Source organism: Homo sapiens, chromosome 6 (genome assembly GCF_000001405.40).
Source record: "Homo sapiens chromosome 6, GRCh38.p14 Primary Assembly".
NCBI lineage: Eukaryota > Metazoa > Chordata > Mammalia > Primates > Hominidae > Homo > Homo sapiens.
The window spans coordinates 137,219,979-137,234,871 of record NC_000006.12 but is presented as its reverse complement, the minus strand read 5'-3'; the positions used below and the strand labels follow the sequence as shown (position 1 = coordinate 137,234,871).

Genomic DNA, 14,893 nt, shown 5'->3' with positions numbered 1-14,893 from the left:
AGGACTTAATATACTAACCAGTCCTCCAGATTCTCACAGATCATACTAAATACCCATAAGAGCATTGAAAGGTTGGCAATGAAATGCCTACTAAACAGGTGTATGCATTAAAGAATTAGGCTACAGAGAGTGCGCCACTGCACTCCAGCGTGGGTGACAAAAAAAAAAAAGGCTATAAATATGACTCATCTACATGTTTCTACTGGTGAAAAAACTCACTGCCATTTCCTTCCTCTTAAGGAAGTAAGGACGCCTTTTATAGCCCTTTCTCGCAGGTGGATGGATGGCTGGAGGAGAAAGAGGACAGTCAAGCAGAAAAGGAAAAGAAAAGTGATGAACCTCAGTGGGGTTTGTCCAATTAAGCCACATCTGAATATAAGTAAGAAAGGATTCCTGAAAAAAAATACATGTGTACCAGCTACTTATACAGAGGTAGTCAATTAAGGACATAGTATAGAAAGCAAACTGCAATGTTAAGAAATAAAAAATAATTTTTAACCAATAGGTATTCTTAACAAAAAGTTGTTAAAATGAGTAAGAGATGTGGCAAATAGAAAATATAATAGGAAGAATGTGCATTCAAAGACAGAAGGGAAAATAAATACTTGGGTGTGCTTTCTTCCCTTCCTCCACTTCCTTGTTTTCACCATCAAGAAACACTGATCCTCCTCCTGAAAAGTCCCCGAGATATAAAACCTTGCTTCCTCAATCTTGAAGCAATGACTCATCTTTTTAGCACAGCTCTCCCCTTTCCTCTTCCCACGATTCAAAGTCCCTTCAATTGAAGGCAGACCAGATTATTTGGCAACTTTAGAAGACAAGCTTTCTTTTCAGGAGTCAGAGCCAAAGGGATTTCCCTGAGGAAAATACTAACAGGAAATGTGCACCAGTAGAAGGAGACTCAGAGACCTGGCCGAATCCTGCCTGCAGGACAGGCCAACTGAGTCACCTGGCTTGGGACTTTGGGAAGATCAGTTAGTTGGTCTGCCTCTCTGTGACCACATCTACAAAATGATAATAAATAACATTGGTGTGCTGCCTACTGCTTACACTTGTGGGAATCCAATAATACAATGGTTGTTTAAAAGTACTCCCTACATTGTACAGCACACAGTGATGAGTTCCTGTTACTATTATTACATCAGGAGTCAGTACTGATAGGTAGTCCACAGGCTCAGATCAGCTGCAGTGTGAAAGATGAACAGAAAAATTAGATACAGTTCCTAGACCAGGGCTCCCAAGCTGAATGCCTTTGATTTAAAATCAGGCTGTCTCCAAACCTTTTGCCCAGCACGGTGGCTCACGCCTGTAATCCCAGCACTTTGGGAGGGCAAGGCAGGCGGATGGCTTGATCTCAGGGTTTGAGACCAGCCCAGGCAATATGATGAAACCCCAGTTCTACAAAAAATAGAAAAATTAGCTGGGTGTGGTGGCGCATGCCTGTAGTTCCAGCTACTAGGGAAGCAGTGGTGGAGGATCGCTTGAAGCCAGGAGGTGGAGGTTGAAGTGAGCCAAGATTGCACCACTGCACGCCAGCCTGGGCAACAGAGTGAGATCACAAAATAAATAAAATAAAATAAAATAAAATCAGGCTGTGACAACTGTCACTCTCTACATGTAGCAGAAACTGATTCATGGGTAAAAATCAGAAGCTGTACAGTGGCTTCTTTAATCATGGACATGGCAACAGAAAAACAATAAAACAATTGCTCCGTAGCCCATGGTGCTCTAGTTCCTGCTTCCTTTCCCAAGGCCCAACCTTTGGAGTCCCTGATATAAATTGAAATGCAAATGAATTAAAAACAACATCAAAAATACTTTTAAAAAGCATGGCTGTTTAGCAAAAGAATCTAGACACAAAAAAGTGCATACGGTAAGATTCCACTTATCTCTGCCCCCACCTCCTTCCAACAAATTTCAATTTTGGACTAAAATAATTTACAATTTAAAAGCCTCATAGTGTTGCAAAGGAGGGCTAGACGGAGGACCTAGAACCTAGCACTTCCTGGTGCAGTCACTGTCAGGGTGAGGCACTGCAGTGACCTGCCGACTGAGGAAGACTTGGCCAAAAAGAACAGGCAATGGAGCTGAGCTGAGAATGAACGAGGATCAGATGGCAGGCTGTTGCAGTGACCAAGCAGAAGTGCCCAAGGCCAACACAGTGACCACAGATATGAGGACAAAACGACAAACATGAAGGACATTATGTGCTAGTCCAGCAGATTTTAATGCAAATCACATATATCATTTTACATTTTCTATTAGCCCCTTTAAATAAGTATAAAAGGTATAAAGAAATAGGTGAAAATAATTTTGGTCATATATTTTATTTAACTCAATATATTCAAATTATGATCATTCAATGTATAATTGATATTTTTTAAACATTAATGAAATGTTTTATTTTCATCTTTTGTACATACATCTTCCAGAGCCAGTATGTATTCAACACTTACAGTTCAACACCGTGAGGGCTAGCCACATCTCAAGTGCTCAGAAGACACATGTAGCTAGTGGTCATCATCGTGGACAAGGAAAGCCTAGACTCTTAAAATACCTTTAGATGTTTTAGTCTATCTCATTTCATAACCTACAAACTGGACCAGATTTACTGATTTTTAAATCAAAATCTTTGACTCTTAAAAATCGATTGTATGTCCAGTCCATTTCATGTTCCAAAATCTTCCACTTAGAGAAGAGTCCGCTCACATGAATTGGAACTAAAAGCAATGTTCACCGTGAGTGTTCTAGCTAAAAAACCACAAAATCCCTAACTCGTCTTCACTGCTGAGACATTAACACACTTCTAACCACAGAGCTGAAAAAGCAAATCTTTTGAAGTGATAATGAGGCAATGATTAGAACTTAACACCTTCTAAAAAGGAAGCTCATTGCTACAGCTATTTAAACCTCTAAGTTCTAATTCAAAACCTCTCAATTTTATTTTTGACAGTGAAAATGGGATCAATTTCTACTATCTAAAAGTATTGTTTCTATAATTTCATTCCATTTTCCTAAAAGAAACATAAAAATAACAGAAATTTAATACAATCATCATCACAATAACCATTTAATAACAAAACTACTCAGTAGCTGATAATTTTAAGCCAACAATGAAAGATAAACAAAGAATCTGTTTCTCATGAGGTTGGGCATAGCTTCAGGAATGGGGGAGCTTTCTCTTTGCCCTCACCCAGTCAGAAACACTGCTTGTGTCCTGCAAGGCAGGTTCGGGGCTCAATTCACCTCCCTAACTTCTCTTCTATCTCAGATGCCCTATCTTCCTAAGGCACCAAGCCTAGAGTGTATATGAAAACTATACTGGACACCATTTTTTTTCTTACTGAAGCAGATTCCAACTATTGTTCCTTTTTCTGGAAGTTTTGTCACTCAGAGGCAGTTGGAAGCAAGTTCAACCATGTGGCTAGGTAGTCAGACCTTCTTTTGTGCTACCAGGCCTGTCTCTTGGAACTTGGTACTACGAGAGTCCTTACTTCCTTCTCAGAGACAGGTGCCCCACTCAGAAGCAAGTGCCCTAAAACTGCAATACGACAGAAGAAATTCTGCCAGCAGACAGCCTTGAGACTCGAACTGCAACATCAGCTGCTCTCTGGTCTCTGCCTGGTGGCCCACTCTACAGCTTTTGGACTTACCAGCCTCCATAATCATGTAGGCCAGTTCCTTAAAATAAATCTTTCTCTCTGCAGATACACATCCTATTGGCTCTGTTTCTCTGGAGAATCCCGACTTATGCCATCACGTGCAACGTTTCAAAAGTTTAGTTGGTGATTTAATGGACTATGCTGCTAGTGATTTCTGACCAAGCCTAGGAGAGTTTGAAGATTCCTCTTGAACATAGGGTTGTCTCTTAAAACATCCATTCCAGCCCTCCCCAACTGCATAGCGGTCATGGGGTTTGGGTGGAGCGGACCTCACCCCTCACTCCAGGGGGGACCACATTGGTGATCCAGACCTAAGCCATTACTGCCCCTAATTCCCTGCCCAAGGAAACTGGTCAGAGATAGTCTGTTTGAAATTTGTAGCAAATGTCCTGTCTCCCTCTGAGTGAGAAGGAGGAGCATCTTGGCTCTGTGGCTTCTGCAATTTACCTTGTGACCACGGGGGAAGTCAGCCTTAAGATGAGGAAGGGACAAAACAGGCACACAAAAGTGGAGCTGTGCGAATCAGGACTAAAGCATGTTTACCCATTTGAACCAGTCTTATACCTGACCCAATGGCAGTCTCATCTAATGGCTTTAAGCCCTGTTCCCGCTGGATGGTGGCTCAGAATATAGACATGATGCCCTACGTGTGGTCTCTCCTTTGCCCCACTCTAGCATTGCTGTGTTTGCAGAGCCTCAGCCTCTCTGGAATTTCCATGGTAAGGGTCCCGATCCTTAGAACTTTAGTCTGCTCAGCTTTATTAGCACTCTAATTTCTCACCAGAACTGGAGCACTGCCCAGCAAACCAGCCACCTGGCAGGGGTTCTGAAACCCTGCCTTATCTTTATCTCTCTCTCTCTCTCTCTCTCTGCCCCACCGCCCCACCCCATATATATATGACAGCCCCTGACTTCTTCTGAACAACTGTATCAAACAAGAGAGCAGACTCCCTCCACTCACCACCACTCACAGCCCATGCCACAGCACTACCACCCACCTGATAGTATGTCAGTTGAGGACCCTGGGATAGAGATGCTGCTTGGTCAGAGATTGTTTTCCCACCTTCTGGAAAATTTCCTACCTGCCTCAAAGGCCAACTTTAGAGCCCAGTTCTCCCCAGCCCCACCTCTAGTATTTCAACTTTCCCAGCTAAAGATCCAGCACATTCCGTTAACACATCTTTTTAGAGTGTAAATTGTGAGAGCATGAGGAGCCTTGTGTGGCTGTCTCCCTTGAAAACAGGGTGAAAGTGGCCTAAGTGGAGGAGGATGAATGCAATGTGGATGTGGTGATCTCAGCCACTACGCCTGCACCACCAGAATGCAGCTGCACAAACTCCCTTCCAACTGAAGTCTTGCCATGTGTGTTTGAAGAAATGTAGGCACTTGTCCACACCCAAGATATAAGGGGGGTCTGGGAAATATAGTGTTTGTTTAATTCTCCCTTGAGCAAGCAGAACTTAAGGAATCATCACAATGACTGGAAGTGTCAAAATGCATTGAAAGGTTTTAGACCACAAATAGGACATGTTATCTACACTTGCCCTTACTAAGTGCACAGACACTTAGGATGGGAACAAAAGTACAATCGATGGAAAGCCAAGCTCAACTTCACACTTTACCAGAACCACTGGCCCTCACTAATGCCTGGTGCTGCTGCCCAGAATGGGTCGCTCTGCCACACTTCACTCCCACAGTGGCTTTCTTCCAGAGGCCAACTGTCCTCTCTGCCATCCTTCATATCTGTTTCTATGTCCCTGAGTCTCAATTGCAGGCAGGATTCAAGGTCATTTCAAGAGATTTCCAGTCCAGTTTAAATCAGGGGATATGGCTCAGCACCTGTGTAAGGCTCCTGTCCATTTCATGGCAGTTAGGAAGTCCCCCAATATCTTGTGACCATTATCAGATTTGCTTGTCCTATGCAGTCTGAGGAGCTCCAGCTGGTGATTCTGCTGAACACCAGCTGTCTGAGTCTCAGCTTTAGCCCCATGAAATAACCAAAGTTAAAGTCAGGAATGTCAAAGTGGAGTGGGCCTGTGTGTGAAATGTGCTGGGATTCAGGGACAGACGAAAGAGAAAGAAAATGTGAGCAGACAATGCTGAGCAAAGAGAAATACTAGCCATGATTTATCCAACATGTTCTCTGTCCCAGGCACTGAACAACTCATATGCCTTCACTGAACCCTCACATCTACTCTACTGAGGTGAGTATTACTGCGATTCCCAATTTACAGATGAGGAAAGTGAGGCAAATGGAGATATAATAACTTACCCAATGTTCTAAAGCTATGAAATGATGGGGCTGGGATTTGAACCCAGTGAGTCTGGTTTCGCAGACTTTTTTTTTCTTTTTAGAGATAGGGTCTCACTCTGTTGCCCAGGCTGGAGTGCAGTGGTGCTGTCATGGCTCACTGTAACCTTGAACTCCTGGCCTCAAAAAATCATCCCACCTCAGCCTCCAGAGTAGGTAGGACTACAGGTACATGCCACCATACCTGGCTAATTTTTTTATTTTTTGCAGAGACGTGGTCTCCCTATGTTGCTTAGGCTGGTCTTAAACTCCTAGCCTGAAGTGAGCCTCCTGCCTTGGCCTCCCAAAGTGCTGGGAGCCACTGCACCTGCACCCAGCCAGGCTTCTCATACTCTTAATTAACCTCTGCATTCCCTGACAAAGGGACTAGACATGTGCATTATCAGGAAAAGGTATCCTTTCTCTTGGATGCTGCTGGGAACACAGTAAACAATTTTGCTTCCCTGAACTCCACATTTTTGCCATGTTTCCATCCTAACTATCCCTTTTTGGTGTAGTTTTCTAAAAAATATGCTTATGTCCTCAGATAGGTCCCAGTTAAATTGTTCCTCCCTGCTCTGGCCTAAGGAATAGTGTTGCCCTCGTTCTATCTTGATCTTAATAAGTGAGCTCTTACAGTCTTCTATCAGACTGCTGATAACCACAAATGACTACAGAATAGGATAGAGGTACAATGACTGTGGCTGGCCCGTGCAGGACCTAATAAAAGGCAAAGCCAGGAGAAGCACAAGCTGACCGTGCTTAGATTTGTCACATGCAATTATTGGAATCTAAAGCTGTAAGCACGTTTTTCAAAAATACAGTCATTGCTTAGTAGTCCATAGGAAAATACACACTTTCTAAAAATGTCTATTTTATTTTCTCTACCACTATTCAGTGGTTGCTAGGAGCCCAAAGTGAGAGTAGAAAGTGGTTTCAAGATTCAGTTCAAAGGTCTCCTCCTACTCTAAAAAATTTCCTAACCACTCCTCACCACTTTGAGTAGAACTCACTGCTCCTTGTGGCGTTCTTGCCAGAGCTGGCCCAAACTTCCATTACAAGTCAAAGAAATAAAACTGTGATGCCCTTTTTAGTTTACAAATCTCTCCCTCTCTCTTTCTCTCATTTGCTATTAGAGAATAAGCTCTCTTTAAATCACAGAGGAGCAGGGAGGTGATGTAGCAAATAATAACACAGCTAACATTTATCTAATAACACAGCTAACGTTCATCTAATAACACAGCTAATGTGACTTGTCAGGCAGAGGACTACAGATTTTTCATAATTATCTCATTTCACCTTCACAAAGATCCGATGCTGTGTACATTATTCTATCTCCACTTTACAAGTAAGGAAACTGAGGCACAGAGAAGACAAGTCCCTTGCCCTAGATCACATGATAAAGCAGTGGTGGTGTGACCCCTAAATGCAGGCAGTCCAGCCTCGGGGACTTCATGCTCGATCACGGTGCTGCACAGTCTCACTCACAAAATGCCTGACTGACTAAAGACTGTCTTGCTCACTCCTAACCAGCAACTAGGATTTCTGTGACAAAATGAACCCATTTCTCAGATGATACATTTCCATGCAGATACAGTTATCCTCTATGTAATCTGGAGTAGTAAGAAATTACATTTTCATTTTTGTTTGATTTCTTGTCCGAAAAGACATATTATAAATTTTTCATTCACACAAATGGAGTGTATTTCAATTCTCTTTTTAAAGGTCTAAATGTTAGCAAGTATACATTCTTTGACCAAAGTATTGGTTGTTATAACTTGATGATGTAGGGGACAAGAGATTCTTTTCTCACTCACTGTTAGGTTCATGGCCAAGGCACCTATAACAAAAGACAGATTAACAAGAGAAGCGCATACAAATGTATTTAATATAAGTGTTTTTTTATGCTGAGGTTTGACGAAGAGTGGGCAGCCATGCAGAAGTGTGCTTGGAGGACAAAAGGCTGTGATCCAATGGTCATAAACTGAGGGGAATTTAGCAAGCCTGCTTGTAAGCTACTTCTCTGTGTCCCTGTGTCATCAGAGATTAAAAAAAAAAAAATTCCTTCCTTCCTGACATAGAAAGGGCACTCTGTAATGTGGCCTTATGACCTCTTTCAGATAAAGGCCCAAGAATTTATTTTTGAGATGGAGTCTTGCTCCCATCACACAGGCTGGAGTGCAGTGGCGGGATCTCGCCTCACTGCAACCTCCACCTCCCAGGTTCAAGCAATTCTCCTTCCTCAGCCTCCTGAGTAGCTGGGATTACAGGTGTGTGCCACCACACCTGGCTAATTTTTGTATTTTTAGTAGTGACGGGGTTTCACCATGTTGGCCAGGCTAGTCTTGAACTCCTGACCTCAGATGATCCACCCACCTCAGCCTCCCAAAGTGCTAGGATTACAGGCATGAGCCACTGCGCCCGGCCCCGATATTTCTTTTATAACCTGCTTCAGGGGAGAAGTGTGGGAAAAAGTCAGAGAGTCACCTTCTCACTTCTGCTGTTTCTCCAAATGCCTAAGTACCATATTTTCGGGTAGCATGTTCTAAATCCCATCATTGACAAATGCCTACAAGTAAGAACCAAAAAGGTAACAAAAATCAAGCTGCAGAGTGTAAGACAGTTGAGATGATAGGCGTGTGGTTCAACTGTGGAATTGTGGGCCATAGAGACAATATTTTTACGTTTCTGAACAGTTAGGGTTTTCTGAGCCCATTTTACTGAATCTTGGAATCTAAGCTAAAAGGACAAGCCTGGTGTTAACTTCGAAGTGATTAGTGAGAATGCCAGAGAAATTTACCTCCCCAAAGATACCTGCGTTTTCATTTCAAGGAAGAATTAAACCCCCAGGACCATGGAAACATCTCCTGGGATGTAAAGCCAGAGACACTAGTCTCATCTTTCCAGTGGGGAAATTTATTTACATTCCAAAAGCTAAGCTCCCAGAATCTTTCTTTCTGTTCCCAAGGAGAATGTGTTTATACCAGGGAGCAATGGATTTCTCGTCTTTTCTCACAGCGGGAGGGGAAAGTTGGCCCTTTCTCCTATATAAATGCCCAGATTCATTTTGGAGGGTGTCCTCACTTACAGTAGACACCATTACATATAGGATGACATGTGCAGCCTACATGTACATCTGGGTCTCATTGCATAGCCCCAGAGATAAGAACTGGGACAAAAGAGAGCTGACAAAATTATTTGCTGTAAGTAAAAAAAAAAAAAAAAAAGAAAAGTGTTCTGCTCTAGAAATCTAGTATTGGCATTCAAGATAATCACATTAAATATAGATACTTAAAACTTAACAGGACTACGTGCCCTGCCTAGAACCAATGAAAATGGAATTCTCTCTGCTGGCTAAACAAAACACATCTGTTGGCTGAATTTAGGCTCTGAGCCTGCCTTTTGAAAAATGAGCCATCATACCATGATTTGAAAGGCACCCAAAAGACCCTTTTGCCCAAGGCAAACTATCTTATTGTATCCTTTCTTGTCAAGACCTCCAGTGTCACCACTGGACACATTGGTTCTTCTAGTTAAGAACTGTTCGAATGTCAAAATATCTAGGAGTGTCCACCCCAAAATGGTTATCAAATATTGATGTCAATAAATTAATTTGTTCAATTTGTTCATCTATCATTACCCAGAGCCATCTAAGAGCATCTGCTACGGAACCATTGACCTAGATGTTGATGAAAGATAAGGATGGAGAGACACTTTCAGCTGAAGCCTTGTGAGCTAGGGAAGTTTTTGGTATTCTCCAAGTAGGAGGACTCTGGGCTTCTGAGAAGCAGCAAGAAGTCACTGGGCTTTGGTGTGTGGTGAAGGAAGTACGGAGACTGGAGGGGGAAGATGCACTGAAAGAGGAAGTATGAGGCTCTGAGGACAAACTGCATGCTGCTTTAGATTACTCAGTTCTTTTTAGCAACAGTTTTTTTCAGCCTGGTGTTTAGTGTTATATTGGGAAATGTTTTCTAAAAGAATAGGGTAGCTGCCCTTTATGATGCTGAAATGGCCAAAAATTTCATGGCTAGAAATGAAATTCATTGTGCTTTTTTTTTCTTTTTCTTTTTTTTTTAAGACAGAGTCTTGCTCTGTCACCCAGGCTGGAGTGCGATGGCACAATCTCAGCTCACTGTAACCTCCGCCTCCCCAGTTCAAGCCACTCTCCTGCCTCAGCCTCCCAAGTAGCTGGGACCACAGGCGTGTACCACCACACCCACCTAATTTTTGAATTTTTGGTAGAGATGGGGTTTCATCATGTTGGCCAGGCTGGTCTCGAACTCCTGCCCTAGTGACCACCCACCTCAGCCTCCCAAAGTGCTGGGATTACAGGCGTGAGCCACCACACCTGGCCTGTTGCGCTCTTTTAGTTGCAAGGAACAGAGACATTTAGGTTACCTTTAGTGACAAGGGATGTTGGTGAAGATGTGTGGGAACATCAGAAGAGGAAAGCCTCGCCAATGAGCTAGTGCCCAGGGAGCACAGTGAGGGAGCACTATTCGGGGCACATGGCAGTTCTGCTAAGCCTCTGGCTGCTGGGCCTCTTGTTCTCCCCTCAACAAGTGATCTTCTTTGCTTACTATTCTAGTCTTCTACATCCTGTACTTGAGTTTGTTGTTTCTTCTTTTCTCCTTTCTCCCTTCCACTCAGTCATCCTCTTCTCCATCATGGTTTACATTCCAACTCTCTGAAAGCCAATCTATTTAGGTTGGCCTGACATTGAGTAAAAAAAAAAAAAAAAAAAAAAAAAATCTGCACGATTAACAGAAAATCGAACTGATGGTGACTTAAATCAACAGGGGTTTATTTTTTTCTCCCATAGGCCAAAGGCAGGTGGTCATAGACATTAGTTCAGAAACTCAATGCTGACGATGATTCAGGCTTTCTAACTTCCTGTTCTTCCACTGGTAGCTGTTGACTTTTCATCTTCAATCTTGTTGCCTCATGGTTGCAAACTGCCAAGATCTGCTGCAGATCTAGGCGTCACTGGATCTACATTCAAGGCAAGAAGATTGGAAAAGGGCCAAGGCCAGCAAACTCTCCCATTGCATCTGCCCCTTCTATGAGAAAGGAAAAGTTCTCACAGAATGCTTTCCAATCCTCTTCCCCATTATACACCTGATGACCACCACACACACACATGCCTCACAGACTTCTGCTTGTGTTTCGCTGACCAAAACTACATCATATACCTACACTTAGCTGCCAAAAAGGCTGGGAAAGTGAGTAATGAGCCTGTCTAGCCTCTGCAGTAGGGAGGCAGCAAGATAGAAGGGGACCGAAAAGAGCTGTTAGCAGTCAGCTAATGAGTAGTATCTGCCACAGTCACCACGCAGCATGTGGCATCTACCCTAGGCAGTGCTCTAAGACAAGCCAACTACTAGAATACTTGACTGTCTATGGATAAACATCTTCAAGCCAGGGGTTGGTCTGATACAATCGGATGTCAGCATGAGAGCTAAGAGGAGGGTTGAGTGCAAGGCAAGAGGATAGTGCTTTGTTGAGTACCAGTATGATATCCAAATATCTCTCTAAATTCTTATCAGTGACCCAATTATAGCTTAGCCAGCCATAAATTCAACTATACCTGCTTCAGTCCCACACCTCTTTACAAGCTTGTTTTGTTCATCATATATTTATTTAATAAGTGGCCACAGACATTGGTTCAGCTGCTCAATGCTGACAGTGATGATTCAGGATTACATACAATTGATGATTCAGGATCATCAATATTCCATAAATATTAATGGAGTAATAGGCACTTGGCTAGGTGCTCGGGGTCTGACAGTGAAGAAAACAAATTTATTTTTTAGAGGAAGAGGGAGACTACTGAAACAAAATTTTCTACGTGTGTATATACATATTTTATGTATGCACACACACACGGATGCATTTCATTAAATCTCAGATTAAGTCCCTGTTTACGCACCTATAATCGTGTTGCTCTCCTTGGTAACAATTACTACAATTTCAGTAATTATTTGTGAAATATATATATATATAAAATGCATATATTTAACACATACAATTTATTCATATTTAATTCAAATTTAATAGATATATTAAATTTCCAGTAGAATCTCCAGATAGTAGTAAGTACTATGGAATAAACAAAGTTAAATAAGGGCCAGTGTAAAGGCATGGGTAGAGTGTGAGAGGGCAAGAGTATTGGCTATAATTTACAGACTAATCAGCGGAATTTAAACTATATGCTTCAGTTACAAATCTTCACGCTGTCTCCTTTAAAGGGAAGCTGGCAGACATTTCTGCTTTGGAGAAAAGAGGAAGGAAATGCACTGTGCTCAGAGCCAAAATGCACAGTTTGTTCCACACACACAGGCTCTGTTCTCATTGGATCATATTTCTAGCTTCTTAAATTGTTTTATTTGGCCTATTAACTTGAAAGGCAGGTGAGTATGGTCTTCAAAATGTAGCCTTGCTCCTGAGCAGCAGCACTTCAGTATACACTTGGCTTTGGAATGATCTACGCTCCACCCCAATTTGTTTTCTTCATTTTAAAAACTAATCTGAGGCTCTAGTGGGGACCAACGTATACTTGGATATTCCCCAGCCATTAGGCATTGGAAATTTATCAAGGAAAGCTGGCACCGCTCATTTGTTTCTGTGTTAGCTGTATGAGATTTTTATATGGGATTTTAAAATACAGTTTATTGCTCTTCTTCCTACCTCTCTTATTAGCCGGTGGCCACCCCCATCTTTTAACTTTATTCAGGCTAATTTTACCTTATCCTTCAGGTCACAACATAATGGTAACTTCCTTAAAAAAGAATTTCCCTAAATCCAGACACAGTGGCTCACACCTGTAATCCCAGCATTTTGGGAGCCTGAGGCAGGAGAATCATTTGAGCCCAGGAGTTTGAGACCAGCCTGAGCAACACAGCAAGACCCCAGCTCTATAAAAAATTTAAAAACTAGCCGGGCATAAGGCCAGGCGAGGTGGCTCACTCCTGTAATCCCAGCACTTTGGGAGGCCAAGGTGGGCGGATTGCTTGAGCTCAGGAGTTTGAGATCAGCCTGGGCAACATGGTGAAACCCCATCTCCACAAAAGACACAAAAAAATGCCTGTGGTCCCAGCTACTTGGGAGGCTGAGGTGGAAGGATGGCTTGCGCCCGGGAGGTGGAGGTTGCAGTCAGCTGAGATTGTGCCACTGTACCTCAGCTAGGTGATACAGTCAGACCCTGTCTCAAAAAAAAAAAAAAAAATTAGCCAGGCATGGTGGTGTACACCTGTAGTCCCAGCTATTTGGGAGGCTGGGGCAAGAGGATCATTTGGGCCCAGGAGTTTGAGGCTGCAGTAAGCTATGATCATGCCTCTGCACTGCAGCCTAGACGACAGAGTGAGACCCTGTCTCAAAAGAAAGAAAAAAGAAAAGAAAGACTTTCTTTAAAATGTAGACTAAGTTAAATTCCTGTTTATACTCCTTTAATCTCTTCCCATTGCTCTCCTTGGGAATGATGATCACGATTTCAGTACTTGTGTAATTCCTTGTTTAACAGCTATCTCCCTCAGTAGACAGTAAGCTCCGTGAGGGCAGGGGCCATGTCTGTCTTGCTCAGGTCTTTATCTCTGTGCCTGGTCATGTCAGTCACAGACAGTATCACTTGATAATATTCACCCAATTAATAAATATATTTAGTCTCCAAATGACTAACTAGCAAAGTCTTCAGAAGGATACGTAGGGTGGTGGGTGCTGTGATTGTGAAACTTGCCCAGATCCCTCTCAGGAACAGAAGACTGGGTTCTGTCCCCTTCCTGATGCTAGGAGGGCTGCCAGTAGACACCCTCAACCGTCAGCGTTCCTCTGGGGAATGCCTCCATGAAAGAAATGGACAGCCCCAAAATCATGACAGTTGGTATTCAATGACTAATCAGTGCTGGGCTTTAAGACCCAGCCCCTCATACCAACTCAAGACACCTTTACAAGGCCATCCCAACTCCAGAGCGCCCCTTGGGAGCCTTTACTGGGATGGCATCACAGATCAACTTCTTCCTCCGCTCTGCTTCCTCCACCTCCCCTTCACAGACGTTTATTCCAAGAGCACTCCCTAATCAATCAATGCCTTATACCTTAATCTCGACCTCAGAGTTTACTGCCAGGGTAACCCAGCCTGTGACAAGTACCACAAAAATGTTTACAAACTGGATATCATATTTTGTCCTACTCCATAGACGCCTAAACGGTAAAGATCAGTTATTTATCCTTGCATCCTTACAACGACTAGAAGGTGTCTTTCATATAGTGGACATCAGAAACACATCAAAGGAAATATTCTCCCTAAACTTAGTCTAGATTGAGCTAAATTCTTCTGATTCAAAGTGTGGTCCTGTTGAAAGGGGCACCAGCATCCCCTGTGCATTTTGTCCGAAATACAAAATCTCAAGACCCAACCTGAATTAGAACTACTGAATCCAAATCTGCATTTTATCAAGATCCCCAGATGGTTCACATGTATGTTGAAGTTTGAGAAGTACTGAGCTAAGAGATTTATTAATACAAGTAAAATGATCTGGCTGATAATACCTCTAGTTTATATAGTGTCTTTATAAGGATTTTCCCTCTTTAAAAATTTTCCTTAACACTAGTAATCATGCAGTCTTTCACTCAACAAATACTAATTGAGTGCCAAGTAAAGATGTCAGCTCTACGGAGCTTACATTTTAGAAGGAGAAGAAAACAAATATCAAGGTGTATATTATAGTGTACAGCAAGGTGAAAAGTGCCATGAAAAAACAGTAGGGCGGGGTAAGGAGGAGGAGAAGGTGTGTTGCAATTTAAAATTTTTAACAAAAGTTCATGATACTCAGAGAATTGAAACAGGTGAGATCATTAGACATTCGCATGTTTGAGCACAAGCGCTGAAGGACTTAGCAATGTGGCTGCAGTGGAATAGGAGAGATGCAAAATAACAGACAAACCC

At 42.6% G+C, this 14,893-nt stretch overlaps 3 annotated features.

Annotated features, from left to right (window-relative positions):
- Nucleotides 5,489-5,638: an enhancer, noted in NCBI's record as "active region_25139". NCBI's record gives its function as "activates an Ori minimal core promoter by ATAC-STARR-seq in GM12878 lymphoblastoid cells {active_cell/tissue: GM12878}" and the evidence as "EXISTENCE:reporter gene assay evidence [ECO:0000049][PMID:35858748]".
- Nucleotides 5,659-5,738: an enhancer, noted in NCBI's record as "active region_25138". NCBI's record gives its function as "activates an Ori minimal core promoter by ATAC-STARR-seq in GM12878 lymphoblastoid cells {active_cell/tissue: GM12878}" and the evidence as "EXISTENCE:reporter gene assay evidence [ECO:0000049][PMID:35858748]".
- Nucleotides 7,048-7,137: an enhancer, noted in NCBI's record as "active region_25137". NCBI's record gives its function as "activates an Ori minimal core promoter by ATAC-STARR-seq in GM12878 lymphoblastoid cells {active_cell/tissue: GM12878}" and the evidence as "EXISTENCE:reporter gene assay evidence [ECO:0000049][PMID:35858748]".